This window comes from Homo sapiens, chromosome 5 (genome assembly GCF_000001405.40).
Source record: "Homo sapiens chromosome 5, GRCh38.p14 Primary Assembly".
Lineage (NCBI taxonomy): Eukaryota > Metazoa > Chordata > Mammalia > Primates > Hominidae > Homo > Homo sapiens.
In genome coordinates, this window is record NC_000005.10 from 34682474 (window position 1) to 34698654 (window position 16181).

General features: G+C 42.9%; 1 protein-coding gene across 18 annotated transcripts in view; it reads left to right on the forward strand.

Annotated features, from left to right (window-relative positions):
- The window catches only part of RAI14 (retinoic acid induced 14), a 176285-nt gene that overhangs the window by 26146 nt on the left and 133958 nt on the right, over positions 1-16181 (forward strand). For 8 of the 18 annotated variants that reach the window (NM_015577.3, NM_001145522.2, XM_047417088.1 and 5 more), the window contains one exon: positions 4399-4482. In NM_015577.3, the coding sequence (NP_056392.2) occupies positions 4447-4482 (36 nt within the window). In that variant the 5' untranslated portion in view covers positions 4399-4446. Of the gene's footprint in view, positions 1-1712; positions 1953-2030; positions 2303-2558; positions 2609-3232; positions 3342-3658; positions 3741-3910; positions 3968-4398; positions 4483-5085; positions 5250-5594; positions 5776-16181 lie in introns of those variants that run through there. The other 10 variants (NM_001145525.2, XM_011514019.2, NM_001145521.2 and 7 more) reach the window with 10 other exon arrangements.

The following is a 16181-nucleotide window of genomic DNA, read 5'->3' on the forward strand; positions in this document are numbered from 1 at the left end:
GGATTGGGAGTTAAATTATTTTTTTAAAGGGAAAATGAACTGATAATAAACAATGTTACATCCAGTCTTTCAAATGAGATGGAAACAAGCATGTACATCTCTGCTTTGCTCCATCCTCATTTATCAACGTAACATCCATTCTGTGATGAGTGGTGGCCAGTGATGATTGGTGGCCAGTGATGGATGCCATATTTCAGGGACTTATTTTGAATTAAATGGGTAATAAACTGACTAATATTTCTGCTCAGTGGGTAGGTGTGCTTTATTCTGTTTGAAATGGGAGAACTTAGTTCAGAGAACTTTTTCCATAGATGCATGATCCTTTTTGGTACATACTCGAATTAGGCTGTTGTGCAGCTAATTCAGCTTTGCTGTATTTCTTTTGAAGTAAGCATCCTGATTTAATGGCTTTTCCAAGGACTGCCTTTAGTGTGGCCTTGCTAACCTGATAGATGTCACTTTACTCAACATAGGTTGTAGCTCAGCCTGGGCTTTAGAAGTTTGGGATTGAAAATGAGACTGTAAGATCCCAGTTGGCCCAAGGAAGGCGAGTCCGTTTACTCATGATTCATCTTGAGGAAGAAGAGATGCTGAGACAGCTGGCACCTGGCGTTATTCCAGGGGCCACATTACTTTCCGCCAGCCATGGCTTCCAGGTGTTAGATCCTTTCATGAATACCAGGAAAGCAGTGATCTATTAATAACTTTACCCCAGCTACAGTTCATGCTTCTAGAGTTACCATTGTGTGGATTTCCAGAACTTCTTTTCCTTTGACACTTATCTTTATCATTGTGGAATTATGCCCATGGGCCACCCAGCTCTCACACACCCAAAGCCACGGACTCTAGGAAGACACTCAGTTTGGCGGTTAATCCCTTCCCTTGGGAACTTTTGGAATTATCACTTTATTTATCTAATCCTCTTCAAATAAGAGTTTGTATACTTTTCACTGCATGCTTAAAAAAAAAAAAGAAAAGCCAAAGACAAATACACAGAAAAACTAACACAACACCCACGAAACCCCCATGACCTCAAACAAAAATCTTACCCACTGTTGCCTAAGACTTTGTGCTCTCTGAATATGTGAACGAAGGAATGCTTTGAGTGGCTCTGCTGTGGGGAACTGCACAGTTTTGGGTTATCCAATATATGGCCTTCTTTTCTCCCTTTCCTGCTGGACTGATTTGTCCTGTTTCCTTAGTTATTAGTACTTCCACAAGAAGGGGGAAGGAATTAAATTTGAAGGGCGATTCCCACCTTTTTTTTTTTTTGAGATGGAGTCTCACTCTGTCGCCCAGGGTGGAGTGCAGTGGCGCGATATCGGCTCACTGCAAGCTCCGCCTCCCGGGTTCACGCCATTCTCCTGCCTTAGCCTCCCGAGTGGCTGGGACTACAGGCGCCCGCCATCACGCCCGGCTAATTTTTTGTATTTTTAGCAGAGACGGGGTTTCACCGTGTTAGCCAGGATGATCTCGATTTCCTGACCTTGTGTTCCGCCGGCCTCGGCCTCCCAAAGTGCTGGGATTACAGGCGTGAGCCACCGTGCCCGGCCGGCGATTTCCACTTTCTAGCAACAGTTGGCGTAGAAACCCTGGCCCAGCCAGCGACAGTTAGCCAGCGACAGTTGGGGAATATCTGTTTATCGTTATTTCTACTTTGATTCCTCAAAAGGTGATTCTGTTTTGACGTGAAAAAAACAACCCAACTTTGGTTTATGAACCAGCCCAACTCTGACAAGTGTGTTCCTGTTCCGCCTACATCAGTTCTAGGTTCTCTAACTTCAGTGTGCAGAAGATTCAACCAAGGAAGTTCCTGGGCTCTACCCCTTGAGATTCAGTTTTAATAGGACAGGGGCTAAAAGATTGCATTTAGTCCCCAGGTCCTTCTGATGTGGATTAACTAGGGGCTGACTTTGAGAAACACTGCCCTGGAATGTGCACTTGCTATTCAGGTACCAGCCCAGCCTTTTCTGTGACTAAATGCTTGGCAGTTAACAATGTATAATTATGGTGTGTGTCGTTTCCAAGGCAACATGCATCTGTCACTCCCGCTGAGGCTGGGAAGATTGAAAGGGGCCATGGAGAGGCTGCAGTCACAATGAGGCCTCCAGATTCATGTCATCAAAGTGCTTCATGATGACTGGATTTTCACACCATTTATCCAAGGGCCCTAGTCAATGGCAGCAGCAAGAATGAAAGTAGACACATTGGAAGCTAGAGAGTCACTGGGTGACTTTTGGAGGTAGCAACAAGCTCATGAAGAAGGCATTCAGTGGCTTGCACTCCCCACCCATCCTCTCAAGTCAGTTTTGTTTAGAATAATTAGGATGTGGGGGAATGTGAGAGGACCTGGCAAGGCTTCTGAAAACAGTGGTTAACTGTGGTAAACGTGTGCCTGCTATTCCTCAGTTCTCCTCTGGGATGGTGCTGTTAAAGGTCACCTGTTCTCACTTGCAGTGGGCTTGACGTGACATTTATTTAGCACTTACTATGTGATGGAAACTTTCACATAGATTATCTTGCCTTTTTGACCTAAGTGTATTTTCATTTTTTTTTAGCTACATGCGAAGTTTTCACATCTTGTACATTTCCAAATTTAATGAAAAAGGTAGAGTCTGTACATGTTTGCTGGGCACAGTGGCTCATGCCTGTAATCCCAGCTTTTAGGGAGGGAGAGGCCAGAGGATAGCTTGAGCCCAGGAATTCGTGACCTGCCTGGGCAATATAGTGAGACCCCATTCGCCACAAAAAAGGAAAAAAAAAAAAGATAAAGTCTATACATGTTTTAGCACAGGATTTGGCTTTTTGGTTTTAGTTGTAAAACTGTATAGGGCATTGCTGGATGGAACTGGAGGCCGTTATTCCAAGTGAAGTAACTCAGGAATGGAAAACCAAATACCGTATGTTCTCACTTGTAAGTGGGAGCTAAGTTATAAGGATGCAAAAACATACAGAGTGATACAATGGACTGTCAGGACTAGGTTGGGAGAGAGGTGAGGGATAAAAGACAACATATTGGTTGCATTAAAATCTCAGAATTCATTGCTAAGAAATTCATGTATCAAAAAACTACCTATACCCCCCAAACTATTGAAATTAAAAAAAAAAAAACTATATAGGGCAGTGAAAACATTCAGCCACTAGTCAGGCCTTAGGGTCTGGTTCTGAATCTCATCATGAATAGGCTTTGTGACTCAGGCAAGTTTCTAAACTTGTCTGAGGCTCTGTTGCTACTTCTGTGAAATGAGGCACTTAGACTAGATGAGCAATCTTGACTTTTGAAGGGTGGCAACTACCTTGTAGAATCCAGTGAAAACTCAGAACCTTCCTCCCTGAAAAATGTAAATGTATACTTGCTAAAAGATAATTACATTCCATTTCCAGGGGACCACAGACCCATGTTAAATGAAGTGATTGCTTAAGATTCAGCTCAACTCAGAATTGCTGAGTCCCACAAGACCCTGAGAGTCTTGCATTGTTTAGAGAGGCCCCCTGAGGAATGAGCTATTTGATGAGGGAGGTTTTGTTGTTCCTGGCATTTTTCACTAACTGCCCTGTGCATTCTGGGGAGGGGAGACGGGAACAAACACTGAGAAAAATAAATAGGGAATGAGTGGCATCTGGAATATGAACTGTTTTCCTCATCACTTTTCACAAGGAGGTGGATGGCATGATTGCAGCACAGAAGATATGTTGAGGAATGACTTGAACATAGAGATACAGCATTTTGTACAGTGACAGTTAAGCAGTAACTTAGACTTGCTCTACTTTTAATGTTTGAGAACTCACTGATATAGAAATCTAAGAAGGTCCAGTTCAGAGAAGCAGAGAACAGAATGGAAGTTACCAGGAGCAGGGGTGGGGATGTGGGAGTGGGGGGTTGGGGGAGGTGGATGGGGAGATGTTGGTCAAAGGATGCAGCGTTTCAGTTAAGAGGAATAGATGAAGAGATCTATTGTACAACATGGTAATTATAGTTAGTGTATTGTATACTTGAAAAATTCCTGAGAGTAGATTTAGAGTGTTCTCATCACAGTGAAATAATAAGTATGTGAGGCAATGCATATGTTAATTAGCTCAATTTAGCCATTCTACAATATATGCATATTTCAAAAGTCATGTTTTACACCATAAAAGTATATACAATTTTTATTTGTCAATTAAAATAAATATTAATAAGAAGGAAAAAATTAAGGTTTTGGTTAATTTGAAAATGTCAGAAGCTTCTAGGAAGTATATCGTAAGTGGAAATATGTTATTTACCACTCCTCAGCTGTTAACTGACCACCTTCCCAACGCAACCCTGCTCTGTCTCCTTCCCATGACCCAAGTTGTAATCCAATCAGGAGAGAATACCTTATTTGGAAACCTACATATGTCCTTTTTTTCTCTGCTTAGGTGTTGAAAAGTCTCCTCTAGAGCTTTGGAAGGCTGAATGCACTAAACATGAAGAGCTTGAAAGCGAAGTTCAGGAAGAGTGACGTGAGTATGCGGTGACTCACAGTCTGGCTGTTCCTTCTTCTCCATGGAGCTGCAGAAACGCTCCTCCCCACCTTGATAAGGCGCTGTTGGGTTAATAAACTACAGACACTCAAGTGCTCTTGGCCCCAGCTCAGGGTAGCTTCTGTAGATGGCATGCTCTAGGTTCCTTGCTGTTTGTGTGCATAGCTTTCAAAAACAATGTTTTTTTATTTTTATTTTTAATTTTGGGGATCTGTGCCTTGTAGAGAAAGGAACCGTCACATTAAACATCTTCAAAGGAAGAATCAGTAAAAACCTCAACATTTCTAAAGTTGCCAGAAATCCTGATTCAGAATGTCGTTTTTAGAAGAAGCTAGTCTCTCTCATGCGGGTGGTTTAGGAATGACATATTAGCATGGTTCATCTTTGGCTTTAGGAAACGTGTTCAACTCTCTGTTAAGGGTTTTGTGGTAAAATGGTATCTACTGCTGCCCGTACCTTTCCTCCCCCCGAATTCCAGGGACTCGTACTCATTTGTTATCTAACCAATCCATAAAAGACTCTGGATTGGAGGAAGCAGTTATGATGTCAGAGTTATGAAATAAAGTCTCCCCCAGGAGAAGAGGGAGAAAAACATAGCAGAGGGGTTGTACACGATAATATTTTTTTAAAAGGTCACCCCATAAACCCTTCTATGATCCCAGTCTTGTATTAGCTGCATTCCAGATACTTTGAGCAGAGTTGTGGAGTGGGAGAAATTAATGGAAGGGAATTAGATGGAAGCCAAGGTATGTCACTCTCAAAATGGGCTTGTTCAGCTATCATTTCAGGCGAGGTAATTAAAGATGAACCTGGATTTTATTGCTTTGCCGTGAATTATATTTTGACAGCTTGGCACAGCTGCATTTTTGCAATAAATGGAGGCTGTGTCTTTTATGGCTGATATGTAACTTGCATACCTACTTCTGGCTGAAGCTTATCTCCTGAGGCTGCATCATGACATGTAACTTACTGCCCTGATAAAACCCAGGCTAGATGAGATGCTTATGGGATGATGGTAAAATACCGACCCACTTAAAGAAAGAACTGGGAAGCGTTATGAAAAAAGTTGATCTTACCTTCTTATCCTTTAGGTAAATTAAATAAAACTCATAGAGTGCAAAGAGACTTCGACAAAGACAGAAAACTAGCTGTTGGCCAGAGTGAAAGTCCTGGTCATCCGACTTCCGAGAAACCTCCTTCAACCTCATCGTCTGCTGGCTGTATGTTATGCAGCCTACATATCTCCCGTGGCTTTCAGCTAAGGAGAAAAAGGCAATTAAATGGAAAATGTTGCCCAATTCAGCAGATAGGGGTTTCTAAATTTTGTGACCAGGTTAACAAATGTCTTTTTCTATTCCAAGGGAATCTAGGTAGCTTTCATTTACATAGGTTAAGATTATTTTTAGCAAAATTTCATCAGTCTAGACTTCCATATATATATGAACAGGGGCCCAGAGGAATGATAGGCACATAAACTTTTGGTTTAAAAATCAAAAACTGGTGGCAGTAGGGAGGGTGTTGCTGGAATCTAGTTAGAAAAACTGAAATATTTCCATGATTTAAAAAAATCCACTGTAATAACACTAGTAAAAGCTCTGGGATTTGGCAGCAGAAAAGGCTATGATTTTGGCAGTTAGTGCTAAGAGAAGAAATGTTGAGAAGCAGACCTGGGGGAGGAGAGCCTGGGGAGGAGGAAATTGGTATAATGGAGCCCAACAATTTCAAATGGCTCTCCACATCCAAATTGTTTCCCCAAGCACAGAACCGTACAGCTAAATGGAGGGAATAAAAAATGACAACAACAACAAAAACATTTCAAAGCCTAGTTTGTTAATCAACCATATGATAATAATGCTAATAATAATTAACCATTAGGAAGTATTAACCAAATGTCCAGAGGTATACTAAGCTTTTCATGTGAAATTCATTTAATCTTGCCACAAATCTTATGTGGTGGGTATTACTATTAAGCTCATTTTACAGACGAAGAAACTAAGGCCTTAGGGACATGCAGTCATTTGTCTGGGTTCTTAGAACTTTACGTTCTAGAACCAGTTTTTGCACTAAGGCAGTCTGATTCAAGAGCCCATGTTTCCTGAAAGAGGAATTTTGGGTGGAAAGTCTATTTTAAGAAACTAGGCAATCTGCTGGCACGGTGGCTCACTCCTGTAATCCCAGCACATTGGGAGGCTGAGGCAGGAGGATTCCTTGAGTCCAGGAGTTCAAGAGCAGCCTGGGCAAACATGGTAAAACCCCATCTCCACAAAACAATTAAAAAATTAGCCGCCTATGGTGGGGCACACCTATGGTTCCAGCTACTCGGGAGGCTGAGGTGGGAGGAAGGCTTGAGCCCAAGAGGTCAAGGCTACAGTGAATTGTGTTCACGCCACTGCACTCCAGTCTGGGTAACAGAGCAAGGCCCTGTCTCAAAAAACAAAAACAAACTGAACAATCTAGGGAGTAGCTTTAAAAGCGACTTAAACTCGGACCTAGGTTTGTGGCTCTGGACAAGTCTCTTACTCTTCTGAACCTCAGATTCCTCACTAGAAAAGTGGAGGAAATGATATTAGCCCCGTAAGACTGGGGTGACAGTTAAATGCATTAAATGAATGTTGGCCGGGTGTGGTGACTCACACCTGTAATCCCAGCTACTTGGGAGGCTGAGGCAGAAGGATCACCTGAGGTTGAGAGTTTGAGACCACCCTGGCCAACATGGAGAAACCCCGTCTGTACTAAAAATACAAAATTAGCCGGGTGTGGTGGTGCATGCCTGTAATCCCAGCTACTTGGGAGGCTGAGGCAGGAGAATAGCTTGAACCCAGAAGGCGGAGGTTGTGGTGAGCAAGAGATCACGCCATTGCACTCCAGCCTGGGCAACAAGAGTGAAACTCCATCTCAAAACAAAACAAAACAAAAAAACAAACAAAAAAAGAATGTCAAAAATCTTATGGCCTGGTGCTCAGGAGATGCTTAGTAAATATTTGTTTCTTCCTCCTAATTAGCAACCCGTAATAAAAAGTAGGATTCAAAAAGTTTACACGGTCTGGAGGGTAGAATACTCTGGTAACAGTTGCTGCTGCCGAACAGGGAAACTGAGAGCTGGGGAAGAGAGGCTTGTTTTTCAATGTATGCCTTTGATTTTGAAGTTTTTGATACACGTACATGTGTATCATGCATATATATGTATTGTTAAGGAAAAGCAAGCTTACAAACATTTACATTCAGTTGAATGAAGCAAATTATAATTTTTTTTTAACCTGAAATGTGTGGTCTGTCTCAAAATATTTTAAACCATTGGGCATCATATTCCTGCTTGTCTTTGTGTGAGGGAAAAGGAAGAAGAAAGGATTCTTTGTATTTCTGGGGGGTAGGAAGAAGATAATAGCAGATCAGGTTCTCGCGCTTGCATAAAGAAGACAGGTGACCCACTGGTGTGATCGCATTTCAGCCAGCCTGTGTCTGGGAGGTCTGTGGCCAAATTGGTTTGTGGCCACTGTGAGCAACACCCAGGAGTAAACATAGGATGAAAGTGGCCCAAGGGGGCCTCCTATGGATGGCCTTCAGGTCACTCTGTGACCCGAGAACCATCACTTGGGTAAAGATTGAATGGGAGTGTCGTTTCCGGAAGACTTGACAACTGGCACTGTGTCAAAGGCAGATGTGAGTTTGGTAGGGAATGAGCCTGACTCTGCGGGCTGTGGTTAGACAGTGACATTGTCCGGTGGTTTTGATTCTTAAATCTATTTGGGACCCTGCAGATAACCCACAGAGAATAAACAGCATTATGGAATTTCTATGGTGGATAACCTTTTTTACTTCGCATTTATAACTTTATTTTGGGAGTTCTTAAACTTGAGTTGTTAGATAGTAGATAGGATACAGGAGAAATGCAAATATGGTTGTTGTCTTTAAAAGGTTGATAAACCTCGGTGGGAGGAGAAAAAAACATATAGGAAATAACTAGAGCAAAATACAAGCAGTATAGAATATAGATACTCAAGGTATCTTTAAGATGATATAGCTAACTAGTTGTTAAGTTATAAGGCCTGGTGATAAATGCTGCAGATTTTGAGATGGCTGAATCACTGGGAATGGGAGAATTTGGGGAGCTTTATGGAGGTGGAGCTTCATGCAGGCCTTGAGGGATAGGTAGGAGTTGGAAGGATGGTTGGGAAGAGGGGGAAAGGTCAGAAGGTCAATCAGGGGAGACAGCTTGCAGCACAGCGGGTTAACTCAGTCTCAAAAATGGCCCTTGACATAGAAAATAGTAATATTAATAGTTCAGGAGCCCAGGAGAGTACCTGTGGCATGGCCCTGAGTATTTAAAGAAGAATACTATATAAAGTTTTCATCCTAGTTTTAAAAATGGATAGATTGACTTTTATGCTTATTAAGCGAGCGCAGAGTTCTCAGTCATCATTATTTGTATCTTTTATGACCATAGCTTGAAAAAGTGGCTTCTTTACCTCTTTAAATATTTGCAGCAGCTAGTATGTGGTTCCACATGGAAAAATGAGCTGTCGTCATGAAAAATGAGGCCAAAAAGGCTGGGATTTCCCTTTGCTAATAAAATGCTCAGGCTTCTGGAATTTCTTTGTAGATGCCAATTTTTAGTGACTTGAGTGAAATGGGTGGAGGTTGAGGGATGGGAAATGGGGTTGAAAGATCTTTGTAACACATCTTGAGAAATGCCACTCAAACGTGATCGAGGGCTTCACGGTTTACTTTGAGGGTGTGTGCTTAATTTTACGAAAGATTTATTCCCAATTATATATTTCATTGTAATAGGGAAGTAGCGGACATTCCATTAAAAAAATCAAAACAGCCAGTTTAAAGTGACAGTCTCCATGAGAGATTAAATTGATGGTATACCTTTACATAGCATCTACTAACTACTGTAGCTTTCAGCCAAGGAAATGCACACACCCCATGAATCTTAAAGAACCAGGCATATCCTGCTCAGACAGAGGTTTGAGTTTCTTGCCTATTAAGATAACAGTTGGCGGTGGGGTGTGGTGGCTCACACCTGTAATCCTAGCACTTTGGGAGGCCAAGGTGGGTGGATCACCTGATGTCAGGAGTTCGAGACCAGCCTGGCCAACATGGCAAAACCCCATCTCTACTAAAAATACAAAAATTAGCCAGGCATGGTGGTGCATGCTCGTAATCCCAGCTACTCGGGAGGCTGAGGCAGGAGAATCGCTTGAACCCAGGGGGTGGAGGTTGCAGTGAGCTGAGATCACACCACTTCACTTCAGCCTGGGCGACAGAGCGAAACTCCGTCTGTTAAAAAAAAAATAATAATAAAAGATAACAGCTCTCATGAGGATCAACAACCAACTCTACCAACGTATTTTTTTCAAGGAGTTTTTAGTCATTTATAATAAGTTTTTACAATTGCTCACTCCTCCTTTCGTCACCACACATACATGCACATACACACAATGGGAGTATTTAAAATCCAAGTCTCTGGCGTGAACCTGGGAAGCGGAGCTTGCAGTGAGCCGAGATCACGCCACTGCACTCCAGCCTGGGCGATAGAGCGAGACTCCATCTCAAAAAATATAAAATAAAATAAAATCCAAGTCTCTCTGTAGACATAGGAACTATGGCCAAATCTATTTTAAGCTAAGCCTTTTTTTTTTTTAATAGACATAATTTTAAAAAAATCAGCAATGACCCCACTGGGTGGAGGTAGGAGACTTTACTAAAGTTCTAGAGAGAAATTTGGTCAAATTTGTGCCGTGCTACGTGTTTTCTAGGTCTTTTCAGCCTGATTTAAATGGAGAATCTGCTCACTGCCTGATTTTGCCTGGTATTAGTTTGCTAGGACTGCCATAACAAAGGGTACCACAAACCAGGTGGCTGAAACTAAAGAAATGTATTGTCTCAGAGTTTGGGAGGCTAGAAGCCCAAGATCCAGGTACTGGCACGGTTGGTTCCTTGTGAGGGCTGCGAGGGCGAATCTGTTCCATGCTCTGACCTAGATTCTGGTGGTTGGCTGGCAGTGTTTTTGGCTTGCAGAAGCCTTGCCCCGATCTCTGCTTTCATCTTCAGGTGGCATTCTCCCTCTGTGCATGTGTCTGTGCCCAGATTCCTCCTTTACATAAAGACGCCACTCATACTGGATTAGGGCTCGCTATAATGACCTCATTTTAGCTTGATTACCTCTGTGAAAACCCTATCTCCAAATAAGGTCACCTTCTGAGGTTAGGGGGAGAATTAGGACTCCAACGTATGAATTTTTGGGAGGACACAAGTCAACCCTTAACACAACTCCATGCCCTTCCATCCTAGAACAGTTACACTGAAGCCCTGGCATCCCCCCACTGAGCTGGCACTGTCATAGACCTTAGCTCCACTGTTCATCCTTGGGACTGTTTTCAGCATCTAAGAGAGTGAGGCTGGAGCATCACAGTTTTTCAGTGGGTGCCACTGCATAATATTAATAGCAAGAGTGAACACGTATGGATGGCTGACCTTCTATTACAGGAATAAGGAGTTCTCATGTACTGAATGCTCACTAGGTGCCAGGCACTGTGCCAAGCCCCTTTGCATGCTCTTTGTCATTTAATGCTTACAAAACTCTATCCAGTAAAGACCATTGCTACAATGCATTTGATAGAGGAAGAAATGAATGTTGAGGACAGGTAAGTAACTTGGCCAAAGTCGCACATTTGGTAAATAACAGAGAGATGGTAACTCTCCTGGTTTTTCTGGATGGGAGAGTGTCGCATGCTGTCAACCGCAGCACACGCTTGCTAACAGGTTGCTGGTTCCTAAATTGTGAAGCTTCAAACTGCATAAAATAGATGTTACACTGTTGCTCTAAGCTTAAATAAGACCTCCACAGTGATTTTACATCACCACAAGTCCATCCATAGTGGCAAAGCTCACCAATGTCAGCATTATTCCTCCTGTGACAGGGCAAGATTCTTTGTTTCCTGAGAGCCAAATGCATTTCATTTCTGAAGGGAGGAAGAACAGATGCTGCTTCTGCTCTTCCAGTGGTGCCAGTAAAACATCTCTGTCTACGTGGAGCTCCACTGTGGGCTAAATGGGTCATAGCTTTATTCTATTTACCCCAGACCATAATTCTCAGTTAAACACAATACTTTTCCAGCTAGAAACCAATATGAAACCGAGGGCCTGGCCCTTAAACTTGGGGAAATCTCCTAGTCTACACAAGCAATGAGTCATTTAGACCATTATCTCTTACATCTTTATTCTGCATTAATTACCTGATCATTTTAAATGAAGGCTGTTGTTGTCCTACATGTTTTTAGTTTGACAAATTCTTCTATGAACTTCTCCTTGGGACTGAAACAGAAATTGCTTCTGAATCAGCCTGTGGATATTTTCAGTTGAGTTTCTACTTAAAGATCTTTGCTGTGTGGAGGTGGTTATTTTCAACTATATGGCAATACAGGGGCCAGCGTTGGCCAAAGGCTCAGTATGTCCATAAAGATGAGGTTAGTGACTAGACTTGGCTTTCTTTTTGTTTGAGTCCCTCCCTCCTTTTAAAAAAGGAAAGTCAGTGTGTCCTGGTCAACTTGATTATTCAACTATTAGAGTAGTTTTTATTGTATTCATGAAAATGCTTTCACTTTTTGGGAAGCACTGCCTGAAAGGATTTCATTTTTATTTTCTTAGGAGGCTGAATGATCTGATGGTCTCTAGCTGGCTCCTGCCTCCTGGGCTGCCCAGTAGGCTGGTTAGCTGGAAAGTGTAGAGGTTTATAACGTAAGAATAGAACAAGAAAAAGTTTAAGGAATCACATATTCTCCTTGGATATGTTTGTTCTAAGATGTATTTCCCAATGCTGAGAATGTTTCTGTAGCAACTTTTCAGATTTAGGCTATGGTTTTGGAAGGGGTTTTGATGAGATTCAATGTGAACTCATGAGTCTTTTCATTTTGTCTGGGTGTGTGTATGTGTGTGTGACAGAGTCTCGCTCTGTCACCCAGGCTGGAGTGCAATGGTGTGATCTCAGCTCACTGCAGCCTCTGCCTCTGGAGTTCAAGTGATTCTCTTGCCTCAGCCTTCTGAGTAGCTGTGATCACAGGCGTGTGCCACCATACCCGGCTGATTTTTTGTATTTTTAGTAGAGAGAGGGTTTCGCCATGTTGCCCAGGCTGGTCCTGAACTCCTGACCTCAGGTGATTTGCCTGCCTTGGCCTCCCAAATTGCTGGAATTATAGGTGTGAGCCACCGTGCCTGGCCTGTTCATTCTTTGAAGGGTTGCTTCATAACTGAGAAGCTGCAGGGTCCTTCTGTGAGGTCCCAATGGGTGTACTAATTAGGTATATGATAAGCTGTAATAACAAAATACCCTATACAGTAGTTCTAACAAGGTAGAAGTTGTTTTCTTCTGAAGTAAATGTTTAAAATAGTCTAAGAGCCAGTGGGGCAGCTCTGCTCCATAGATTAACCCAGGAACCCCAGCCTTTCTCTGGCGTCCTCTGTTACCCTCTAGAGCTGCTCTGTGCAGTGTGCTAGCCACTGCCCACATGTGGCTCTTGAGCATTTGAAATGTGCTAGTCCAAACTGAGGTGTATACTGTAGGTGTAAAATACACACTAAATTTCAAAGACATTGTACCAAAGAAAGACTGTGAAATATCATAATAATTTTTTATAATTACACACTGACATGCTACTATTCAGGACATAATTGGATTAAATGAATAGAATAAAATTTATTTCACCTGTTTCTATTTACTTTTTTAATGTGGCTACTAGAAACTTTAAAATCACATAAGTCTTTGGACAGTGCTGCTCTAAGAACCAGAAAGAAGGAAAGTGAAAGTAAAGCAGAAGCACTTTCCTTTTTTTTTTTTTTTTTTCTGTGACAGTGTCTTTCTTAGTGTCTTCCTTTGTGGTCCAGTCTGGAGTACAGTGGTGTTATCATAGCTCACTACAGCCTCAAACTCTTGGGCTCAAGCAATCCTCTTGCCCTGGCCTCCCAAATAGCTAGGACTACAGGCACATAACACCATGCCTGGTTAATTTTCATATTTTTTGTATAGAGACAGTGTCTCACTATGTTTCCCAGGCTGGTTTTGAACTCCTGACCTCAAGCAATACTCCTGCCTTGGCATCCCAAAGTTCTAGGATTACGGGAGTGAGCCACCACACCCATCTAGCATTTTATTTATTTTTTATTATTTTTTATTTTTTTGAGACGGAGTCTTGCTCTGTCACCCAGGCTGGAGTGCAGTGGCACAATCTTGGCTCACTGCAACCTCCGCCTCCCGGGTTTCTGCCGTTCTCCTGCCTCAGCCTCTGAGTAGCTGGGACTACAGGTGCCTGCCACCACGCCTGGCTCATTTTTTTATTTTTAGTAGAGACAGGGTTTCACTGTGTTAGCCAGGATGGTCTCGATCTCCTGACCTCATGATCCACCCGCCTCAGCCTCCCAAAGTGCTGGGATTACAGGCGTGAGCCACCACGCCCGGCCGCATTTTACTTTTTAAAGGATGTGAAACTGAAGGTGCACAAATCATTGCCCTCACAGGGAACTGGTTAGAGCTTGCCCCAACCTAGCTGCAAGGAAGGCAGGAAAACATATTCTCTTGCTGGCAGCCTCGAAACCAGTTAAGCCTCAAGGGAAAGGGGAGAATGGATACTGGGGATGATTGACTCAGCCACAGGCAGTTTCCACAGAAGGTCTTGTTTGAGACTTGGATGATAAAGGTGTGCACAAATGTTCTTAAACCTTAGTGACTTTTACAGTTTTGACTCTTTTTACGCCAGAAGTTAACTATTGATGGCTGCTTTCCCAGGACCCATTGTCCTATTGGTAGAAGTCTGTTGCAGCATGCTGCTGTAGGTGAAGTTAAATGCTTTTCAGTGTTAGAAATGGAAACTGCTGGCTGGGTGCTGTGGCTCACGCCTGCAATCCCAGCACTTTGGGAGGCCAAGGTAGGTGGATCACATGAGGTCAGGAGTTAGAGATCAGCTTGGCCAACATGGTGAAACCCTATCTCTACTAAAAATACAAAAATTAGCCAGGCATGGTGGCATGCACCTGTAGTCCCAGCTACTCAGGAGGCTGAGGCAGGAGAATCACTTGAACCTGTGAGGCAGAGGTTGCAGTGAGCTGAGATTGTGCCACTGCACTCTAGCCTGGCCGACAGAGTAAGACTCCATCTCAAAAAATAATAATAATAATAAAAAGGCCAAGTGCGGTGGCTCACGCCTGTAATCCCAGCACTTTGGGAGGCCGAGGTGGGTGGATCACCTGAGGTCGGGAGTTCGAGACCAGCCTGACCAACATGGAGAAACCCTGTCTCTACTAAAAATACAAAATTAGCTGGGTGTGGTGGTACATAACTGTAATCCCAGCTACTCAGGGGGCTGAGGCAGGAGAATTGCTTGAACCCGGGAGGCAGAGGTTGTGGTGACCCAAGATCGTGCCATTGCACTCCAGCCTGGGCAACAAGAGTAAAACTCTGTCTCAAAAAAAAAAAAGAAAAAAAAAAAAAGAAATGGAAACTGCTCTTGAATGTTAACAGCTGGTGACATTAGGTAACCAGTCAGGCTTTTCCTTTTATGTCCTGTAATATATTGGTGACCTGATCTGATAAGGTGTGGGATGAACAAGGGTTTGTTTTTAAGTACACCATTTTACCGTCATAATCTTGAGGTTGCTTACACAGATAGGGACTATCATGACCTGATCTCACAGCTTCATTGAAAAGTTTGGGAATGGTGTCAGCCTGTAAGTTTATGTTATAAGCTTAGCTTTAAGTTACTCTTTAAAGCAGTGTATTCAGTCAATATGTAATTTATAAAATTGTGCAATATGAGGATTCTTCATTATATTGATTAGTTTAATCTGAACCTACATGACATCTGACTCTCAAATTTTAGGCCTAGAATTCTGAGCAAAACTTTAGAACAAATCTAAAAGAATATTAAAAATGGTAGAATGTCCACTTCCTAGACATGTAACTTTATTAATATAACCTGTGATCTTATTCACATTTTTGGTTGCCATATTGTCCTTTTGGTTCATATTGGGTTTATTGCTGATTCTTTTCTCCCAGTGTTGCTTGTAAAGCCTCCCTTCCCCACCCCTCCCCTTTCTCCCTCCCTTTCCTCCTCCCCTCCTCCCCTTCCCTCCCTTTCTCCCCCCTCCCCTCCCCCTCCCCTCCCCCCTCCCCTCTCTGCCTCCCTTCCTCCCTCCCCTCCTCCCTTCCCCTCCTCCCTTCCCCTCCCTCTCTCCCTTCCCCTCCATCTCCTCCCCTCCCTTTAGTTTTCTCACCTGTAAACTGAGGCTGAGGCCAGCACTTCCCTTTAAAGCATCATCATGAGGATTAGGATAAAATCTGGCACAAAGAAACTTCTCAATAAATGGCAGCTGCTGATATTGGTTACCCCTGGTGCCTAGCACAGTGCCTGGCATTTGTAGTACCTAAAATTGTGTGTGTGATGGATGAATGGTCTCAAAACGTCCCATCTAGTTAAGGTCTTATGACTGACACACATGAAACAATTAAGGCAGTGCCAGGTTTGTGCCATTCACAGTGACTCTGGTGTGTGGCCATTCAACATCGCAGGAGTTTAGAGAAGACTTCATAGAAGGTGAGTTAGGGGCTGAGCCATCACGATTGGGTAGGTTGGGATTAACAGAGGAAACCAGTACTAATGAGTAGAGGTGGGGTGAAGAGACTC